The sequence below is a fragment of the Homo sapiens genome, chromosome 20, assembly GCF_000001405.40.
Source record: "Homo sapiens chromosome 20, GRCh38.p14 Primary Assembly".
Classification (NCBI taxonomy): Eukaryota; Metazoa; Chordata; class Mammalia; order Primates; family Hominidae; genus Homo; species Homo sapiens.
The window spans coordinates 17354828-17375294 of record NC_000020.11 but is presented as its reverse complement, the minus strand read 5'-3'; the positions used below and the strand labels follow the sequence as shown (position 1 = coordinate 17375294).

The following is a 20467-nucleotide window of genomic DNA, read 5'->3' as shown; positions in this document are numbered from 1 at the left end:
GTTGCCCTTTCTTCTTTTAATGACCCTAAGCTCACTGGGAGGTCCAATGAACAACTGCACTGGTTTCTTGAGGCACACCCCTGCTTCTCCATCAGGACAACCCGAAATTGTGCAACGTTGTAACCTCAACTCTTCTGAGACAGAAGGAAATGAATGCTTATTGAGCATCTATTATGTGCCAGGCCTGATACGCATATTATCTCAAGGATACCTTGCAACAAACCTGACAAGACATCCATTTTGCCCATTTCACGGATGAAAAAATTAAGGTTCAAAGATGTTTGATATGCTCCTCTAAGGCTGCATCATGAGGTAGGGAGCCAGGAGTCATCTCAGCTTTGACTCAGTTTCCACTACTGCCAACTGTCAGAACCCTACCCTTGCAAGCTGGCTGTTTTCCAACTGTCAGCACATGCAACTCTGCTGAAGACTCTGTCTGCAGGGCCCTATTTTTCTTGTCTAGAATGAATCCTTCTATCTCCCCACCTCATCTCTACTCCTGGGTAGTGGCCTTCACCCAGTGGTTGACAGGAGTTTGTGGGTAACTCTGAGGCCCACTCGGTCCACACTGTTTCCCAGAGTTCCCCAGGGAGATTGAGCTCCCATTGCCCTAGGGGGTAATTTGCTCTCTGGGCCACTCTCCCTTTCTGGCATCAATTTCCTCCTTCCCAGCTGGTGCTTCCTGGGATCTCCTCTCAAATGAATGACTTGCTTTCAAATCCTTGTCTCAGGGTCTGCTTCTGAGAAAACCCAGCACACAGCAAGAAGGCTCTCCTTGGATTCTACAGACCCACCAGCCTTTTCTTCACCTTTGTAGCTTCAGCAAAGCTACAAAGCAGGAGACGTTCTACCCCACCCACCTCCATGCCCTGAAAGCTGCCACCTAAGTCACACTCCACATGTTCTTGAAGAAGTCTCCCTTTGTTCCATAGACCTAACAGAACCCCTGAGCTTGGGCCCGTACTGTGAACCCAGCCTGCAATCCTCACTGGATTGGGAGCTCAGAGTAAAGAGACAACGAACCTCCCTGTCTGCCTACCCCTCACCTGACAGTCATGTCTCACATGCTTGCATCTTTACTGACCTGCCGACTTCTCTAGAGAGTGCCTGTGTCTTATTTATCTCTCTTCCTCTGGGGCTTGCACATAGCAGGTTCAATCCACAGCCATTGTATTGACTTAGAGAAAATACCCAGTTATTATAGCGAAGATGGGTAAAGGAGGTTATAATTTTAACCTGGTCTAAAATAGCCTCTTGGCTAATACTCATTTCGTGTCATGACTATTGGGATAGAAAAAGAAAAATTTTAATTATTTGGAATAGTGAACTTTTACCAGTGGGACTGGATCCCTCCGATGAAATTCAATCATAGAACAATAGAGTAATAATCCAAGTGGCCGTTATTATCCTTTACTCCCAACACTCAGCAGGCTCAGTGTGGATTTTTTGAATTAGATTAACACTAACAACTTACATTTATATATTGATTTGCAATTTTCCAAGTATTTTATTCTTAGTTTAATGGGAATAAACTGGACTACCAGCATATGCTGTTTCCTCTCTTAATATACAGAATAACCAAGCTTTGAAAATAATTCTGCTTTCAGAAACATTTTGGTTGGTTTGATTATAAAGTAATTTTTTTGAGGAGCCTTGGGTAGAGTTTTCAATCCTCACTGAAAATAAATCAGTAACCACAAGGAGTTTTTTCAACATAGAACATGTCTATTTATTTTAACCTTTAATGAATTTCCAAGGCATCTCTGGGGCAGACGTTGCTACATCCCCCTTCAGCCTGAAACCCTCATGTCCCTGGTAAGCTGCAGCTGTCTGTACCCACACCTCTGCCCAGGGCTTTTCCCCAGGCTGTGGGGAGGTAGGAACATCTTTTGGGACAAGCCCTCAACCAATGACTGACGAAGTTGTCACATAAATACCCCAGCTTCTTGAGGCATCACATCCCAAGGGGGATCACTCTGGCTCACATATTCTATGCTGTCTCCCAGAGCTGCCCAGTGAGATTAAGCCTCAGTGCCCACAGTGCTGTCTTGTTTGATAACTGCCCCGTTTACAAGCTACCTTTCCTTCCCGGACTCATTCCCTGTCCTCTACCCCTGCTTCCTAGAATCCTCTTCCAAATAACCTACTTGTACTCAAACCCTTGCTTCAGAGTCTGCTTCTAGGGAAACCCAAGCAAAGACTCCACCAAGTACCTCTCTCTCAAGGGGCACCAGGCTGGCTCATCCCTCCAAGCCATTAGGTCACTTAACGAGGTGTGAAGCTGCCTGCTAATTCTCTGCTCAAACAATTTTCGAGCCTATCACTGTCTACTGGTTTCATTGCTCTCCTGGGCTGGTCTACTCTATTTGCTGTCCTCATTGTGTTAATGATAGTGTAAAATTTTTAATTAAAAATAAAGAAGATTAGTGTGGTTAGTAGCTCCGAAGTTGCCACTCTGAACTCTACACAGGGTGAGAGAGACACTGTGCCATTAAAAACCAGCCAGTTTGGGCCCTCTGCTGAGGAATCAAGCACGAGGTAGTTAGGTGTTCAGTTTTCTCATCTATACCAGAGGCAGAACATTTTCACAGCCATATGTAAATATATATAATTTCATTGTCAGCTTCCAAGTGTTTGATACAAGTTGAAGACTCAGACTTTGCTCTGAATGAAAGTTATCAAGATGCGCAGTTTTGCACAGAAATCACATTTTCTGTTCAATTCTTAGGTCTCATCTAGTTTAAGTTCAGCATAGACATTGTCATCTCTTCAATAACATCCCACCAGTGGCCATCAAACTTCCTCTTGAATATTTTCAGGTATGAAGAATTTGTTACTTTCATTAATTTACTAATCTTTTATTTTTATTTATTTATTTATTTATTTATTTATTTATTTATTTATTTATTATTTTTCAAGACAGAGTCTCCCTCTGTCGCCCAGGCTGGAGTGCAGTGGTGCAATCTCAGCTCACTGCAACCTCCGCCTCCTGGGTTCAAGCGATTCTCCTGCCTCAGCCTCCTGAGTATCTGGGACTACAGGCACATGCCACCACGCCCGGCTAATTTCTTGTATTTTTAGTAGAGACGGGGTTTCACCGTGTTAGCCAGTATGGTCTCAATCTCCTGACCTCGTGATCCACCTGCCTTGGCCTCCCAATAATTTACTATCTTAATCACTAGACAGTTCTTCCTTTGACTGAGTTAAAATTTTGCTTCTGTGGTTACCACCCATTGGTGAGAATTTTCTTGGGAGAAATTACTGAACAAGTGGAATGCCTCATTGTACCAGGAGAATTTGAAATATTTGAAAACATACTCAATGTGCCTGTTTTCTTTTTTCCAGGAAAAGCTTTTCCAGTTCTTTCAGTTCTCCTTAGCATGGTATGGCTTGGAGTCCACCCATGTTACTGTCTGCCATCTCATCTCCCTCTTACAGTGAAACACTGATTGGAAACAACCTAATTGTTCAACAATTGGAGATCAGAATGTTTAAATAAATTATAGCATGAGCTAATGCCATGTAGCCCTTAAAATTATGTTTTGGAGAATATTTAATAACATAAAAATGTTTATGGCACATCAAGCAGAAGGGAAGAATATGCAATAAGAGCTCAATTTCATTAAAAATAGACACATAGAAATTAAAGGCCCCAAATATGTCAAAATAATAAGAATGGTGGTATTATGGCTAGTTTTGAATCTGTTTTATGCTTTTTCATATTTTTTGACAGATAACATGCATTTATTTTTTAATCAGAAAAATGTTCTTAAGAAAGAAAAGAAGAAAAAAGAACTTGAGACTCACAGAACCGATAAGAGTTCTTCAGGTGTATTCTGGTATTGCAGATCTCAGAGGAGCTGGCACGGCTCAATATGGAGGTTTCACATTCCAATTTCAGATGAAGGTTTTGGCAGATGGATCACACCATCCACTAACATTGTACCTGCAGCTCACTGGAACCCCAGAGGATTCTTGCCCCCAATGAATGACTATCTTTTTCGAATCTGGCAGCTGGAGTTGGGAGCAGCCTGACAGGAACTGCCTGGGCTAGGCAGGGAGAAGGGAAGGATGCAGAGGTCGGTCTCCATGTCTTAGGCCTTTGTGGGGTTATGCTATGCACAGGAGACAGGCCATGTGCCCTCAGCTCTCCAGCCCAATGGGTACCACCCCACCTTGAAGTCCTCCAAGTGACAAGATGATTGTTTCCCCAAGTATGGTTTGGGAAAGTGAGCAGAACTCCACGTGGCTGCCCTGTGAGGCACTGGGTCCTGGAGATGGAGGGAACTGTGGAGAATATCAATGCCTCTGTCTGCAGAGGGTGGAGTGGGGACAGCCCTCGGAGGGAGGACCACCGACCCTGGAGGCCATGATCCCTGCCACACTTGCTCTCTGTGAGGAACAGCCCCAGATACATCAGAGCCTTGGAGAAAATGCAATGCAGCACTTCTCAATCCCCTGCCTGACACATCTCCAGGGCCCTGCAGTTATGGAGGAGGCAGGGAAAGGTGAAGGCACTAGCGGAGTCAGCCATAGTCAGGGAGAGGCAGCAAGGACTGTGTCCAGGGCAGTCCCTTTAAGGAAGTGCATGAGAAGACCAGCAGACAGCTCCACTCATGTTCAGTAGGGAAGGCACCATGAGGAGACAGGGAGAAGGGCTGTTTCCTCAGACTCCACACACAGGACCGCTGGCACAGGCAGTTTACAATGGTCTTCTCCATAGACATGGATTATTATCATTGCTGGGAATATAGCTTTGGTTTAATTTCTGTCATTTCTTTCTGGGGCCACATTGGCTGGATTCTGCCAATGATTCATTTAATAGTTTTTCCTAATATTAAAAAAGATGCTCCTCTCAATTTATGCTCTTCTAGATTTATAAGATCCCTTGAATGCCTTGTTTCTTGTTGCCCAGTGCATGAAACACATGGAATATTCCCCCTTTCTTTGTGCAACGTAGAGACACTCGCCTTCCAGGACAAATGACCCAGACTGGTGACCTCCAAACACTTTTTGCTGGGTAACCATCCTTTCTTTTATGCAAGCCCTTGTTCTCTAAATATGAGTCTCTTCAATGACTAAGACAACATTTTTTACACCTAGATCTGGAGGTCTCAGAAGTATAGCTTAGAAATAGTTTGGATAATTTTAAGTGAACGCACCAATGCTTGAATCTTGTACTCCCTGGGGTTAAAATAAGTGATCGATTCTGTTTAAAGGGCTTGTGGGCTTCATCAGGAAAGCAGCGTGTGAACTGCTGAGTCAAAAGTTAGAGTGTGTGGTTCTAGCCCAGCAGGGCTTTTGGTGATTCTCTGCTAACATTGCTTGTTTGTCAAGGGATAGTAATTCTCAATGTTATGGGGGAAAGTCAGTGGAGTGGTCATAAGTGACACAAATAATCAAAAAAGATAACGCTCTTACTTTCATAAAGCTGGGGCTGCAATGTGAGTCACTGCAGTTTTTGGCTTTTTGCCTTTGGTTTTGTCCAACAAGAACCCAAATGGCTCATTTCCACCCTTCAATTCAATATCATCAGGTAGAGTTGATTTAAACCTTGCCAAGTCTCTCTCTTCTTCCCCCTCCCTGTACCTACTTTCTTGGCACTCTGCTCTTTCAGATGTCAGGTTTCTTTCTTCTCTCAAAGCCACTGCCTTTGCCTGCTGCCAGGCCACATGCCTTGTCCATTTGCTTGTGGCCTGAGCTGTGGCTCCAATGGGATGGACAGTTCCAGTGTGGCTGCCCATGTGGCTGTCTGTGTGTGCATGCATGTGTGCCTATGAGTACGTGTGCATCTTTTGTGCTTATGCATGTGTGTGTATGTTCCTGTTTGTGTGTGTTCCTCCATGTGTGCGTGCATATGTTCCAGCAGCTGTACTCCTGTGTGTGTGTGTGTGTGCATGCTCCTGTACTTGCATGCATGTGTATAGACATGTAGACATGTGCATGTTCCTAATAGCCAGGGACACCAGGACATTTAAGATGCATCTGTTTCCCCACCAAAGTTGGCTTGTACTTACATAGTTGGAGGCCAGGTCCGGGTGGAGATAGTCAATCCCTGTGAAAAGACAACAATAACACAGGAACCAAAGGTTAATACCTGCCACTGTGTCCTCAGGAAAGCTGCCCAAGAAAGTGCCCTCTTTATGGGGCTGGTGCCAGAAGGCTTGCCATGGGGGTGAGTGCCCCATCACACAGCTCCCAGTCTTGCACCTCCCTTCTGTGTGGAGGTGTGAAGGTGGGCTGCACTGCCAGAGCGGAGAGACAGCTGCCCAAGACAGCTTTGTGACAGTGAGATGGATGGCTCATCAGAGCACTGATCTAAAAGAGATTTGTAGAAATCTTGACATTTTTAAAGCATCAACTGGCATTTCTCTGAAATGAAACCGGCCCTGGGGAGGAAAAGTGATTATTATTTAACAGGGCATGGACAGCAATGGATTAGGAGAATGTACTCTGGCATGGAAATAATAAGAGAACATGGCTGGGCAAGAAAAGCCATTAGGTAAAGGGCAAATGGTTTCCAGTGAGGTGTTGCTGGTTGGGAGCTGAGGCTTGTCTCCTCAGAATGTGGCTTTCCAGGAAGCCTGAGGCTTGAATGTCTCAGCAGGAGCCCTGCTTTCTCCTGAATGGTGGCCTGTCTTGTTGCCCAGTAGTCGTTCCAAGGGTAAAATCAGGGACTATGAGCACTGCTGAGTTCCATCAGACCCTTGGACCTCAGAAAGCATCAAGAAACTCCAAGGGCAATTGAAAAGCTCTCATTTGGGTTTGCAAAACCACATAAGCTTTGCAGCAGTTACACCTGAGCATCTAACCCTCCAAGAAACAGGGCAGGTTCTTGACACCATCTAGCATAATGGTTACAAACGTAGGTCTGTGGAGTCAAAGACAGGCATTTGAGTCCCAACCACCCTGATAACTGCCTGCAAGACTTCAGGCAAGTTGCTTGGACTCTGTGATAATTTTCCTTTTTGATCAACTGGGGGTGAGAACAATGTAAGGACTAAAGAAATGAATGCATGTGGTATGCTTGGCCCAGCAGCTGGTGCATTTAATAACTATATGGGGATGCAATATCTAAAAGCCAGAAGTATCATTAAATCTGTCCCAAGGCTGCTATCTTCACTGCATGCTTACTAAGGCTAGGCCACCATTAGAGATTTGCCTTCCCCAAAAGAGCTTGTATTAGGATGCATATTTCTGAAAAGAAATTTTTCTTTTTTTTTCCGGTTATACAATGAGTAACTGGACTGAGAGTCACTAATCTACGGTACGTGTGTTAGGTTTCACTGTTGATTTTGATGAGTGAAGCAATTGCTGTCACTATGGCTGCTTTCTATAGTTTGGGAGACTATAGTCCCCTCCCTAAATCATTATGCCTTCTTCTCCCACTTGCCTCCCGAAGTCTTCAGAGGGAAAGGCATCAGAATATTTAAAGACAAATATTTTTAAATGTTGTTAACCCTTGTTCTGGATCCTAATTCAAAGACCGTCAATTTTGGTCAGGCATGGTGGCTCACGCCTGTAATCCCGGTGCTTTGGGAGGCTGAGGCAGGAGGATTGCTTGAGGCCAAGAGTTCAAGACCAGCCTGGGCAACATAGTGAGACCCTGTCTCTACAAAAATAAGGACATCACTGCACACTAACCTGGGAGACACAGCAAGACCCTGTCTCTAAAAGGAAACAACAAACAAATCCCCAAAAGCAAACCAAGAAACATCCCCCCAGCAAAATGGTCAGTTTAGGCTGTGGGGTGAAGTTGGGGATGAGCATAGGCTTTGAAATCAGTGGATCCAGTTCCACTCTGGGCTCAGACACTAACACTTGTGTGGCTTTAGCCAAGTGACATAATCTGTCTGAGCTTTGGTTTCCATGTATTTGAAATGGGACTATTATTTACTTTGCAAAGCGGTTTTCAAGATTAGAGACAATTCATTGAAAGTCTTCAGCTTATAGTAAACACTTAATACATTCTATTTCTTATCATCATTAGTCCTAACATCTACCACATCTCTGGAGTAGTGTGCATATGCAGAAGAAAAGAAACATTAAAAAATATCCACTTGGTTTCAGCATATTGTGTTGAAATTAAATTGCTTCTATTTGTTAAGATAGCTTAAATTTTGTGAACTCATTGGGTGAAAAATTTTGATAATTTATACCTAAATATAAATGATCAAAAATATAATTTATATTTTAAATATTTATATTTTAAAATATATTCTCTGTGTGTGTCTTTTTTCACACTTAGCTAGATCAAACGAACTTATCTAAATAAGTGTAAAAAAAGACACACCCAGAGAATATATTTTCCAACAGGAAGTCAATTTTTGAAACATGGCTTCATGTTCTGAGAATGGAAGCTGTTAAGGAGAAAAATGTTCCAATAAATAGTAGTGTCTTCTCTGTCAAGGGAAAATACTGGAGCAAGAAGATAATTTGAGACCAGAAGGAAATTAGAATTAAAACAAGATAAATTTAGCCTAATTAAAATAAACGATCTTAAATTAGGTTAAGAGGAATACTAAGTGTTAAGTTAGAACAGATACCGACTTTGGTCTGAGAAAGAGAATGATTGATACGACTGTGAAGGACAACAAACATGATTCGGAAAAAGTAATAATGGACTGAAGAATGGAAAATAGTAATTTGGTAACTAGATAGTACTTTTATATTTTTGTATATTTGATTATCTTTTAAGGTGGGAGGTACTGAACACATCTTCCTAATCGGCTTATGTTTAATTCTTACAATATTCTCATATTCATTCTTATACTTCATGCTTTTGTTTATTTCTCAGCAGTGAATGCCAGGCACAGTGTCGGTCCTGGAAAACCGCAGGTGATTTAGACGTAGAACCTGAGCTGTACAACTATCTATGGCTCACAGCCTATGGGGGTACCGACTGATCACCAGCCAATCATAATAAATGTGGCACAGAAATGACAAAGACTTGGTTATAATTTGGTTCATAAATCATTAGTATCCTATCATCAATTTGAAGCTTCTTGGAAAGTCTAATCCACAATAGTCCCAATTCTCAGGAAGCGGTGACAGTCCTGGAGACCTCGAGGAACTAGGAAGGAGTTCCATGTGCACATTCCTAGGTAGAATGTTAATAGTTCACTTGAGATGCGTAGCATGTCAGAACCCTGGCTCTGAGCTCCAGTTCTTTAACCCTAACCCTAACCCTAGAGCCTCGGGGCCCAGGCAGAGAACTGCCATGGGGTGGGGCTACCATAGAAAACCCCCACTAAGACAAAGCCCAGTGGAGCTGTGGGGGTGGGACTGCCCTGAGACCCCAGAACTACAGACCCACTAACATGTGATTCCAGTGTGGGAGAATGGCAGGCATGAGACTCCACCCCATGAGAGCTGCTGCATGAGCTGTGCCCAGTGAAGCCATGGGGGAGCGGTCATTAGGAGCCTTGGAGGCCCAGCTCCCACCCCAGTGTGTCCAGAAGGTGGGACATAGAGTCAGAAAAGGTTACTCTCAAGCCTCAGAATTTGTTTGCCTTTTTGGATTTTGGACTTACTTGAGACCTGTTACTCCTTTCTTCTTTCCTATTTCTCCCTTTGGGAATGGGAATGTATGTTTTATGCCTGTCTCACCATTGTATTTTGGAAACACGTAACTTGTTTGATTTTACAAGTTCACAGCTGGAGAGCAATTTGCCTCAGGATGAATCGTACCTTGAGTTTCACCCATCTCTGATTTAGATGATATTTAGATGAGACTCTGGGCTTTAGACTTTGATGTTGGTGCTGGAACAAATCAAGACTTTTGGGGCTACTGGGCTAGAAAAAGTGTATTTGTATGTGAAGGACACAAATTTTCGGGGGGGTGGTGCTTGCGGGCAGGGTGAAATGCTGAGATTTGAGTGTTTGTGTCCCTCTAAAATATATGTTGAAACTTAATCCCTAGTTGCAATAGTATTTTGAAGTGGGGCCTTTAGGAGGTGATTAGGTTTTGAGGGCTGTGCCTTCATGAATGGGGTTCGTACTTTTATAAAAGGGCTTGAGGGAGAGAGTTCATCCCTTTGTTACCCCTTCTGCCAGGGGAGGACGCAGTGTTTGTCCCCTCCACAGGATGGAGCAACAAGGGGCCATCTTGGAAGCAGAGAGCAAGCCTTTATCAGATACTGAATTTGTGATTTCCCAGCCTCCAGAAGTGTGAGAAATACATCTCTGTTATTTATAAATGACCTAGTCTAAGGTATTTTGTTACAGCATCAGGAACGGACTAAGGCACATTGTAAACATCTACAGCCAATCCCCTGGAGTCCTGTTGGGGCAGGATAGAGTTTATAGCCACTCTGGTGAGTAAGACATCAAGACCAAACTATAGTAAAGCACAATATGTGGGCACTCTTTTTGACGGTCCCAGCTGAGCTCCAGTGGCAACCAGCAACAACCACCAGCGATAGGAGTGCACCATCATGGATGTGCAGCCCAGCGGGGCCTTCAGAAGACTGCAGCCCAGCTAACATCATAACTGCATGAGCAACACTGAGTGAGCAGTGCCCAGCCAGGCTCTTCCCAGATTCTTGTGCCACAAAATCATGATTAAAGATAAATAGCAACTTCAAGCTGCTAAGTGTTGGGGTTGGATATGGTTTGGCTGTGTCCTCCCCCAGATCTCATCTTGTTGGGGGGACCCGGTGGGGGATAATTAAATCATGGGGGTGGGTTCCCCCATACTGTTTTCGTGGTAGTGAATAAGTCTCGCAAGATCTGATGGTTTTATAAGGGGAAACTCCTTTCACCTGGCTCTCACTCTCTCTCTTGCCTGCTGCCATGTAAGACACGGTTTCATCTCCCGCCATGATCGTGAGGCCTCCCCAGCCACATGGAACTGTGAGTCTATTAAACCTCTTTTTCTTTATAAATTACCCAGTCTGGGTATGTCTTTATCAGCAATGTGAAGATGGACTAATACAGGATTATCTGTTATGCAGCAAAAGTAACTGGAGCAGTCACCCTGCTGGACCTTCCTACTGTTTTCTATGTGATGCAGAGTTCTAAATCTCTCAGAAGGGTGTGGGTGACTATGTGGTCCTCAGGTTTGAATCTTTTATTTATTTATTTATTTGAATTTATTGAAAAAACTGTCTTTTGTCCTGGAGAATTTCCACATCCTGGTGGTGTCATTTTTTTTTTTTTATACTTTAAGTTTTAGGGTACATGTGCACAACGTGCAGGTTAATTACATGTGTATACATGTGCCATGTTGGTGTGCTGCACCCATTAACTCGTCATTTAACATTAGGTATATCTCCTAATGCTATTTTGAATGAGGCTCCCATTCATAAAGTCTCACCAGGAAGGCAGAGCAAAGGATTAGGTTTCAAGTACCAAGAATGGTGGTTAGAATTAGTTGTGAGACTTTGGGCAGTTTCTTGCCTCCCTAAACCTCAGTTTCTTCATCTGTAAAATGGCGATTATAATAATACCAACCTTAGGGAATAACTGTGGTTGTATTTCCAAAATGCTAAGCAGTGTCTAGCACATAGTGATTACTCAATAAATGTTCGTCGTTTTTACTGTTAGTTGTTTATTCTTACTTCAGCTTGAAGCTCCCTCTGACCTTAGCTCGCTGGCCTTCCATCTCACTTCCTTGGCTCCATCTGATAATGGCTAAGGGCCTTGACCCATGCCTTCTCTGATCTTGTGTGATCTTGAGAACCAGCCATCTGCCCTGAATTACTCTTGGGCTGGATGACTCTTGTCCATCCCTGTATCTTGTCATGATCACATTCCATTTTCCAGGTCAAGTTCCCAACTCTAAACAATTCCATTACAGTAAAAGGGCGGAAGTTGTCATCATTAAATGGGGTCCTTGCTAATATCTACATAGGTGAAATGTCCTAGTAGACCCTTAAGAAATAATTTCTGCCCCTTTAGACAGCAGCTAACCATGGAGGTCCTCTCCTAGTGATATGTAGCATGTGGAAATGACATTGCTTTGTACCTACGTGAAGGCAGCAGATATTTATTGAGCATCCATTGAGTCACTGGATCCAGCAGAGGGGATGATGGCTGAGTTTGGAGTTGGGCAACCAGAGATGGGAGGGCAGTGATTAAAACTGGCTGTCCACAAATTTAAACTTCTGCACGCAGATGATTGAACATTTGCCACACAGGCCAACATGTGGAGAGACAATGTTGATAGAATATGACATTAGTTTTGCCCTTAGGTATCAGGGTTGGCATCTGTGTCTGTCTTTAACCTTATTTTGGAATATCTTGCCAAGAAAATGTCTGGGACATGGCACCATACCATTCATGCGTGCAGGTCGTTAAGAGAGAGAATGCAGTACTGATGTTGCCAGCCTTCCCGGTTCTAGCTGTGAGGACAGAGATGGCCAATTACATGGCAAGAGCATCTGTCCTTGTCCTCACCATGTGGGGAGCTGCCCTTGTCCCAAATGTGCTCATTTTGCTATTCAACAGTGAACTTGGATACTTTTCTTCAGTTATCATATGGAATAGCATGTGATGCATTAAAAATGGCCACAAATTCAGAGTTTATTTCCTTTCCACTTGAATCTGGATTGGCCCTGGGACCATTCATCCAACATAAGTGGCAGAGTTACCGGTGCCCATTCCAGGTCTAGCCTTTAAGAGGACTGGCAGCTTCTGCTTCTTCTCTTTTGGAAGGCCTACTCTTGGGAGTCCTGAGCCACCTATAAGAAATCCATCTACCTTGCTGGAGGCCTCATGTGAGAGGAGAGGTCCTCAGACTCCATGGAAAGGGAGGGAGGCTGAGCCTTTTCAGCCTCCCATTGGAGCCTCTAGTTGACTCCAGGGTCAACTTCCTTCTGACTCCACCTGCATGATAGACTCCAGTGGAACTTGCAGAACTGCCCAGATGAACTCCAGCAACCCACAGAACCGTGAGAGATAATAATATGGTTGTTTTTTAAACCACTCAATGTTGGGATTCTTTGTTCTGCAGCAGTAATTGACTAAAATGAAGAAGAAACCAGGAATTGTAATTGGGGGGCAGAGTTTACTTTTGTGGGAACCCAAAGGCCATTAATCAGCTGAAGAAAGAACATCAAATGAGAAATTCTGCTGAGACTTTCTAAAGGGCTTGCCTTTGCATGTGGAAATGAGTCAGGAGCCAATGACTTTAGGAGTCAGTCAAAGAGCTTTCAGTTAAAGTATTCTGAAATGGGCATCTACAGTACTCTTGGAGGTTTCCTAAGAGCAGAGCAATGCACATCTGTTGGCACTTTAGTGCCACTTTTAGGGTGGCTTCTCTGATCCCCGGCTGGGGATACCCAGTAGGATATGCTGTTAGAAATGGTCATGACAATATCTCCTAGGTAGGTTTTCCCCAAATCCTGATGCATTGTTTTCCTGGGTGAGCTGGCCTGAACCCCTTTGGAACAGTTTTCAAGAACAAGTGTGAGAAAAGAAGAAACATTTATAAACTCCTGACATCTGAGCACACACACTCTCATGCAGGGCTCCTTTCTTCTTGTGAGAGCCCTTGGCCTCTGGAGGAAGGTTTTACATCCACTTAAAAATGTCTCACACATCAAAAAACATTGAGGCATTGTTTTTATGTTGATATTTAATGAGCCCACACAAGACAACGCAGGTTTTAAGCAGGCTGGCTCCTCTTGGTTTCCTCTGTCATTTCTGCTTCAAAGCCTCACTTTAAGGAACATAGTGTTCTGTTCTTTGAGGATCTTCGGATGGGAAAGGCTCAACTGTTTCATCTCTGTGTAGCCTTTGTATATAATTGGGTCAATAATGCACAGTAGAGCTTTTTGCTGGCAGACCCAGATGGGTGATGGAGGGCAACAACACATCCCCAGTGAAACGACCACAGGCGGCAATTCTCCACAATCTTGGCAGGGCCAAGGACGTGTGTAGTTGGAAAAATGCCAATTCATCAAGCCCATTGGTTTTCATATCACAAACTATAGAAAATGAAGCTCTGCTAAGTCTTTGGTAGGCACGCAGGTTGAATAACATGTAAGGGATGTCTGTAATAAAAAGTTATCAAAGGCTACTTTACAAGGGTTCATTCTGAAAGCAGCAATAAAGTCAAATTTCCCCAAGCTCCAATCCTGTTACTGAAAAGCTGTTTTATGGATGTAGAGTCACGCTAATGTAACTATCTGTGATGATGAAAATGGAATTGAATTTCAGCAGCTGCTAGCCCCATGTGGATATCAAGAACTTGAGGCTAGTGTGATTGAGGAATTGAAATAAAATTTTACATTTTATTTAACTTTAATTAATTAAAATGTAAAGTTAAATAGGCACATATGGCTAGTGGTGACTACATTGGATAGTGTGAGTCTAGAGAAATTGATGGTGAATATAAAGAGTTTAGAGGACATTTTAAGGTAAAGTGTAAGCAGTAAGAAATTATGGTTGAGTGATAGGCAGCTTTCATTTATTCATTTGTTTAGCTTATTATTTATTAATTCAAAAAATATTTGTTAAGTGCAACCTCAAGTTTGAGGACCACTGATTGGAAGAAAGGTGAAGATCTGGGCACAGTGCAGTGTGGCCATCATGCCCAGTATCTTGCTGTTCCATCTCTGGTTAGCATCTCCAAAACAATACAACTTTTATCAAAAGGCAAGCAAAGGCACGCTTATTTCCAAATGAGGCACAGGCTTCAAAATACTCACCATCATCCATAATTCCAATGGTAACACCTTTCCCTGTGTATCCCAGCTCCCAGGCTTCAGCCACATTCAAATCAAGGCCAGGAGTGCCATCAGCTTGCCCAGTATTGATCTGGTACAGGAATTTCAAAGCAGAGAATGGTATTAGTTTGGTGTTGTAAAGCACCCATGTACATATTTACTTGACATACTCTATAGCCATCTAATATTTCAGGACCAGCTCAAAGGCCACATCTTCCATGAAACAGTACTTTTGGGTGTCCCTCCCAACCTACCTATAGTGTTTCCTCTCCATTTTTTTTTTTTTGGTATAAACACTTTGTGTTTTCTGTTTTCTGTAAATATGCAAACATAGTTTCAATCCCCTAATATCTTATAACTAGATCACTATCTTTAAACTTTTTCCATAAGAGAGCTGCTATTGCAGGAAACCCTCCCTGATTTAGAATTAAATGCTCACTTTCATAGCTCTTTGTTTCTACCTCATGTTTTGAATTTACAGCATATTGTTTTGGATTATTCTTATTTGAATATAACTTCTTACTAAATAACAATATCTTTTGCAGGAGATGACATGTCCTAGTTAATCTTTGTAATTTCAGTGCCACCACACTAAGTCTTGTTCAAAAGTATTTGTTGAACTGAATTAAAGAAAACTGGCTCACCTTTAGTGCATGTTCTAATGCAGAAAAATAAATCCTAAGGCCCCTCATCCTGGCCCCCAAAAATATTTCAGAAAAGAAAGAAAGGAAAACAAAGAGCAATTCCACAGTAATATGTCCACTCCCAATCTTCATGTGTCTTTGTACTGTGTAGGTTTTCTCCAGGATGGATTGTAAAAAAAATAATGAAGTCAGAGCTTGTACTGGCAAAAGCCCACAGTGATCAGTGGCTGTTATGATATTGCTAAAACATTGTATGATTGTCATTGGGGCTCTTTAAAAAATTTACTGTGCTCTTTCTTCTAAAGACATGTTAAGACTACACACCTCTCCACCCACTCTGAAGTTAGAATGGCGGATGACTGATTTTGGCCAATGACATGTGATCTCATGTGCCATTTTTTCACATCCAGGCAGAAGCTTTAAGAGTTTCTTTTAAAAATTCTACAATTTGCCCCTTTTCCTTGCTGAAGGGCTTATGAAAGCAGTGTGGGAATGGAGCTCAGATGGAGGTTGGTCAGCCTGCGTTTCTGAGCAATTATGAAGCATTAGTCGTGTAGCAAAAGTGAGAAACAAGCCTTGCTTTTGATAAGCTACTGTGATCCGAGGGTTGTTCATTATTGCAACAAACCTAGCCTATCCTAACTAATACAAGTACACTCATTCAATTACCCATATTGGATTTTCGGACTTCCATGCCAAAAAGCATAAGTCAGAGTCAAGCTCTGAAGCCCCAGAAGGGAAATTGTGATGAATTCCTGTAATGTAGCCGTCCACAAGGCTGTAATTTAGTTCTCTCTCTTGTTCATCACTTTTTAATCTTAAATAAAATACAGCTTCATTCACATTTACAAATTAGTCACTCCCTTTCTGTCAATATGCCCTGCAGTTCAGGTTGGTTTGGAGTCACTGATCCCTTTTTAAACATAGCTTGGCCAATCCAAATGGATCATGATGAACTGTTGGTGACCCACAAAATGCTCACTTCACCAGGCAAAATGGGTTTTAGTGCCTCCAGGCCTGCATCAGTTAAGCCCCATGGAATTGATTTCCTGCCATTGTTTTAGGAAGCATTAATAGATGCTCTTTTTGCTACTTTAGTCTCCAAGCTTTCTTGCTAGCCCCTTGCAAAGTCATTGGATCCTTTCTTTTAGGCCTGTGACTTCATTATGTCCCCTGTTACTCTGTCTGTTGAAACCCCTGCATTACTCTTCCCAGACCTCTGATTTGACTTTTATATAGTTTTGCTAATCTTCAGTCATACACTGGTGCACTTTTTCAGAACTGAAGAGAATTCCACTAGTTGTTGGTCATAGCCTCCACCCTAGGAGACAAGGGCTACTTAGCAGTTCCAGAAGAAAGCAGATTAGAGAACTAGATGCACAGGTGGTGACAGAAAATCAATACATATGTAAGGGGACAGAGAGGGTCACTGGGTTGGATACTGGCTAACATCCTAGTGAATAATGAGGATACAGGAATTCATCTTTTATCCAGAGTCTCAAGATGGGAAATGTCCAAAAGGACATAAAGACACTCACCAGATACCACTGCTTTGTAAAAAGAGGATCGTTCATGTTGATGTCGATCTCATTGATGTCTCTGTAACCTCGCTTTTTTCGGTCAAATCCTTCCTGCTGCAAAGCCATCTTTACCTGGAATGACAATGCTGACATATTACCTGAATATAATCTGAACATTCTGTCTTCTGGAATTTGTTTCCATGAATCCAAATTTCATTTGTATATCAGGTGTATTTTTTTCTTTGGCAAAAGCAAGTTCATCTCATATACATGCTCACCTTACCATTATTATTATTATTTTGTATTTTTTTGTAGAGATTAGGGGGGGTCTCGCTATGTTTCCCAGGCTGGTCTCGAACTCCCGAGCTCAAGTGATCTGCCTGCCTCAGCCTCCAAAAGAGCTGGGATTACAGGCGTGAGCCACTGTGCCTGACCCGTTACCATTATTTTATGAGAGCATTTACTTATGGTTGCACTGAACAGACAGGCTTTGGTGATGACTCAAAGTGAGTTTCCCTAAAGTAAGAATTAGATAGAGAAAAGTATTCTTTTTTTTTTTTTTTTGAGACAGAGTTTCGCTCTTGTTGCCCAGGCCGGAGGGCAATGGCATGATCTTGGCTCACTGCAACCTTGGCCTCCCAGGTTCAAGCGATTCTCCTTCCTCAGGCTCCTGAGTAGCTGGGATTACAGGCATGTGCCACCACACCCAGCTAATTTTGTATTTTTAGTAGAGACAGGGCTTCTCCATGTTGGTCAGTCTGGTCTTGAACTCCCAATCTCAGGTGATCCACCAGCCTTGGCTTCCCAAAGTGCTGGGATTACAGGCATGAGCCACCGCACCTGGCTGAGTAAAGTATTCTTAAAGAAGATAATGTGGTAGGGGTCATTAAGTGAAATAAAACAATGGAACATTTCTATTAAGGAGAGAGGACTGATGTGGATTCAGGAAGAGAGAGAGTGAAAACAGCATGTATAATTTTTCTGGATGGCTTCCCAGTCTTTAATTTGTTGACAGTGCTATCACGTTTGAGAATCTGCTGAAAAAGAAAACTTCCCCAAGACAAGAACAAACAGACAAACAATGAGGCCAGCATGGAGAGCCAACAAATGCCATAGCAAAGTCCTAGAAGGTAGAGAGGAACCTCTGAGAAGAAATTGATGGATGGTGTGTCCTTGCACTGACAACATTTCAATTTTGGACAGCCAGAAAGAACCCCAAGCTCTTGGATGTAAATGCAATTTAGGAGCTGAGTTAGTTCAAGCAGCTTCTGGCAATGGCTAGGCTTTGTTTTAATCAGGAAACTTGTTTTCACTTGGACAAAGACTAATTTATCATGCAACAGTTGTGGCCAGTCTCCGAACATGTACAAACTCAAGGATTATGCACATATATAAAAGGGTGCTGCTAGATATTACTATTATATTTTGTAGCCCAACATTTTTTTTCCTCTTCCCAAATCTCCCCAGTGTATTTGGGGGAATTACTTCCAATCCATCAGGTTCTGTGTTGGTGGAGTGAAGTTCTAGGTGCCCGCCTGCTGCAGGCATTAGAGTCTCCCTCTGCCTTAGGGGTGCCTCTGTGGGTGTCTCTTTCCCAGGATTTGAATCTTGGGAAGGTGAAGCAAGGACCAAGATCCCCTGGAGCCCATTTATCCTGGAGGTTCCCTCACCAGGCTCTTCTAGTAAAAGATCCTCACTATGTTCCTGCAACCCAGCCCCGGAGCTTTCAAGACTGATCCTCCAGCTGCCCATTGATTGTGAGCCCCCGATATCTTCCTGACAACTTCTCTCTGGTTGAAGTGAAGCAGAATCCATTTCTGTTGCTTGTAATCAAGAACTCTAATGGATACCAGATGAGAGAAGGACAGCAGGGCCCAGGTCGAGAATGACAGCAGGAAGAGAAGAATGAAGAGACCACAGACGTGGCAGAAAACCCTTCCCCTCCTTACTGCACTGCCTTGCAGAGGATCCTGTGAAAGGCTAGATCCTCACTTCTTTACTCTGCACACTGACATGAGAAGGCCTGAAGCTCATTTACCAGAGAAATTGAAGCCACACCAGAAAATCTATACATGTGGAAAACAAGTGTTAAGTGTGGCATTGGCTCTGGGAGTTCTTTGGAGGTATTCCAACAAAGGACAGTCACAGTCACTGTGGCAAGCTTAAAAAAAAATCTCCCCAAAGAAATGTGAAATAATTAGAAAAATGGGATAGATGGGTATTTTTATAACGGCAAAAATTTGGACCTAACTAGTGCCCATCAAATGGAGATAAATTATGATTCAAAGGTACATATACATATATATATATACTTATGCACATGTATGTGTGTATATATATAAATATATATGTGTATGTGTGTATATATGTGTGTGTCATACTGTCACATATGTACATATATATGCACACACACATGTATATCCTCTAGGAAGCCATTGCCAAGATGGGATTAAATGTGCAAGTATTTTATGAGAGAAAAATACAAGAAACTGTGATGTAAGTCTGACCCCAAGTAAAGAACAGTGAACAAAGTTGGGCAAATTCATCCTTGATTCCCCTGTACTCTAAGGATGGTTTGGTAAAACTGTTGGGGATTAAATTTGAGGAGCCCTGTGTCTCCCAGAAATGGGCCTGCCTGAGTTCCCCTGCTGCTCGCAGTCACTGGGGGGAGTGTGGCCTTGTTGGCACAGTGACAGATTTCAGAGTGCAGCAGCTGGGGGCCTTGGTCAATTATTTTCCCTGAAGTCAGAGATTTTTGCAGCATATTCCCATAGCTCTCTCTCTGTGTGTGTGTGTGTGTGTGTGTGTTTGCGTGCACACATGTGCATATTCATTAACAGAATGTTTAAAATGTTGAAGTAAATGTATAGTTCTCCACCTGGAAACATAGCCATCAGATACACCCATCTCGCAAACTTCTTTCACTATGGAAGCAAGAGTGCCTCTTGCACTTGGGAAAGAAGGTGTCTCACTTTGGCCATTGCCTCTTCCCATTTTGGTTCCACAACGAGAGGCCTTTATCTGCTCTACTCACTAATCGGAGGCCTTGGTTGACTTTCACTGAGGGATTCCCATTCTATGGGACTCCTTGTCGTAAATAACTTCCCTGAGAGGATCTTCGGGGAGCAAGAGCAACTATCACATGGAAGTTTGAAAACTCTAAGCAATATGTTGTTTCTCAGTAGCGTAAGAACAAAAATACTCACATCAGATTTCACCTTTATAAATAACAGTGCAGGAATGGCTATTACAACCACTCCAAACTCATTTAGACCAAGTGTGCTCTAATGAAAAGACTGCTCAAATTCATTTCCATGAAATTAATTTTTAATTCCATAAATTAGGTTTTAATGGAAACTAGTGATGCTTAGGAATGCTGCATTCTCTGGGCACTGCCTCCTTGCAACTCAGCAATTTAGGAGTCTTGAGACTGAAGGGGGCTTTCTGAGTCTGTCAGTTTATCTTCTTGTCCACAGTTACACTTTGAAAGAGACGAACACCTTTAACAATATATGCTTTCACTTGTTACACACAAATAACTGGAAAACTTTTTTTTTTCCCCACAATGATACCATGTAACCCCATTAATCATGTTTATTGTTCTGGGTTCTCATTCAATCTTAATTCATAT

At 42.7% G+C, this 20467-nt stretch overlaps 1 protein-coding gene across 3 annotated transcripts in view; it reads right to left on the bottom strand.

Annotated features, from left to right (window-relative positions):
* PCSK2 (proprotein convertase subtilisin/kexin type 2) overlaps positions 1–20467 on the bottom strand; it is a 258472-nt gene that overhangs the window by 109284 nt on the left and 128721 nt on the right. For all 3 annotated transcript variants that reach the window (NM_001201528.2, NM_002594.5, NM_001201529.3), the window contains 3 exons: positions 16855–16968; positions 14655–14763; positions 6018–6055 (listed from right to left, as the gene is read on the bottom strand). In NM_001201528.2, the coding sequence (NP_001188457.1) occupies positions 6018–6055; positions 14655–14763; positions 16855–16968 (261 nt within the window). The remainder of the gene's footprint in view (positions 1–6017; positions 6056–14654; positions 14764–16854; positions 16969–20467) is intronic.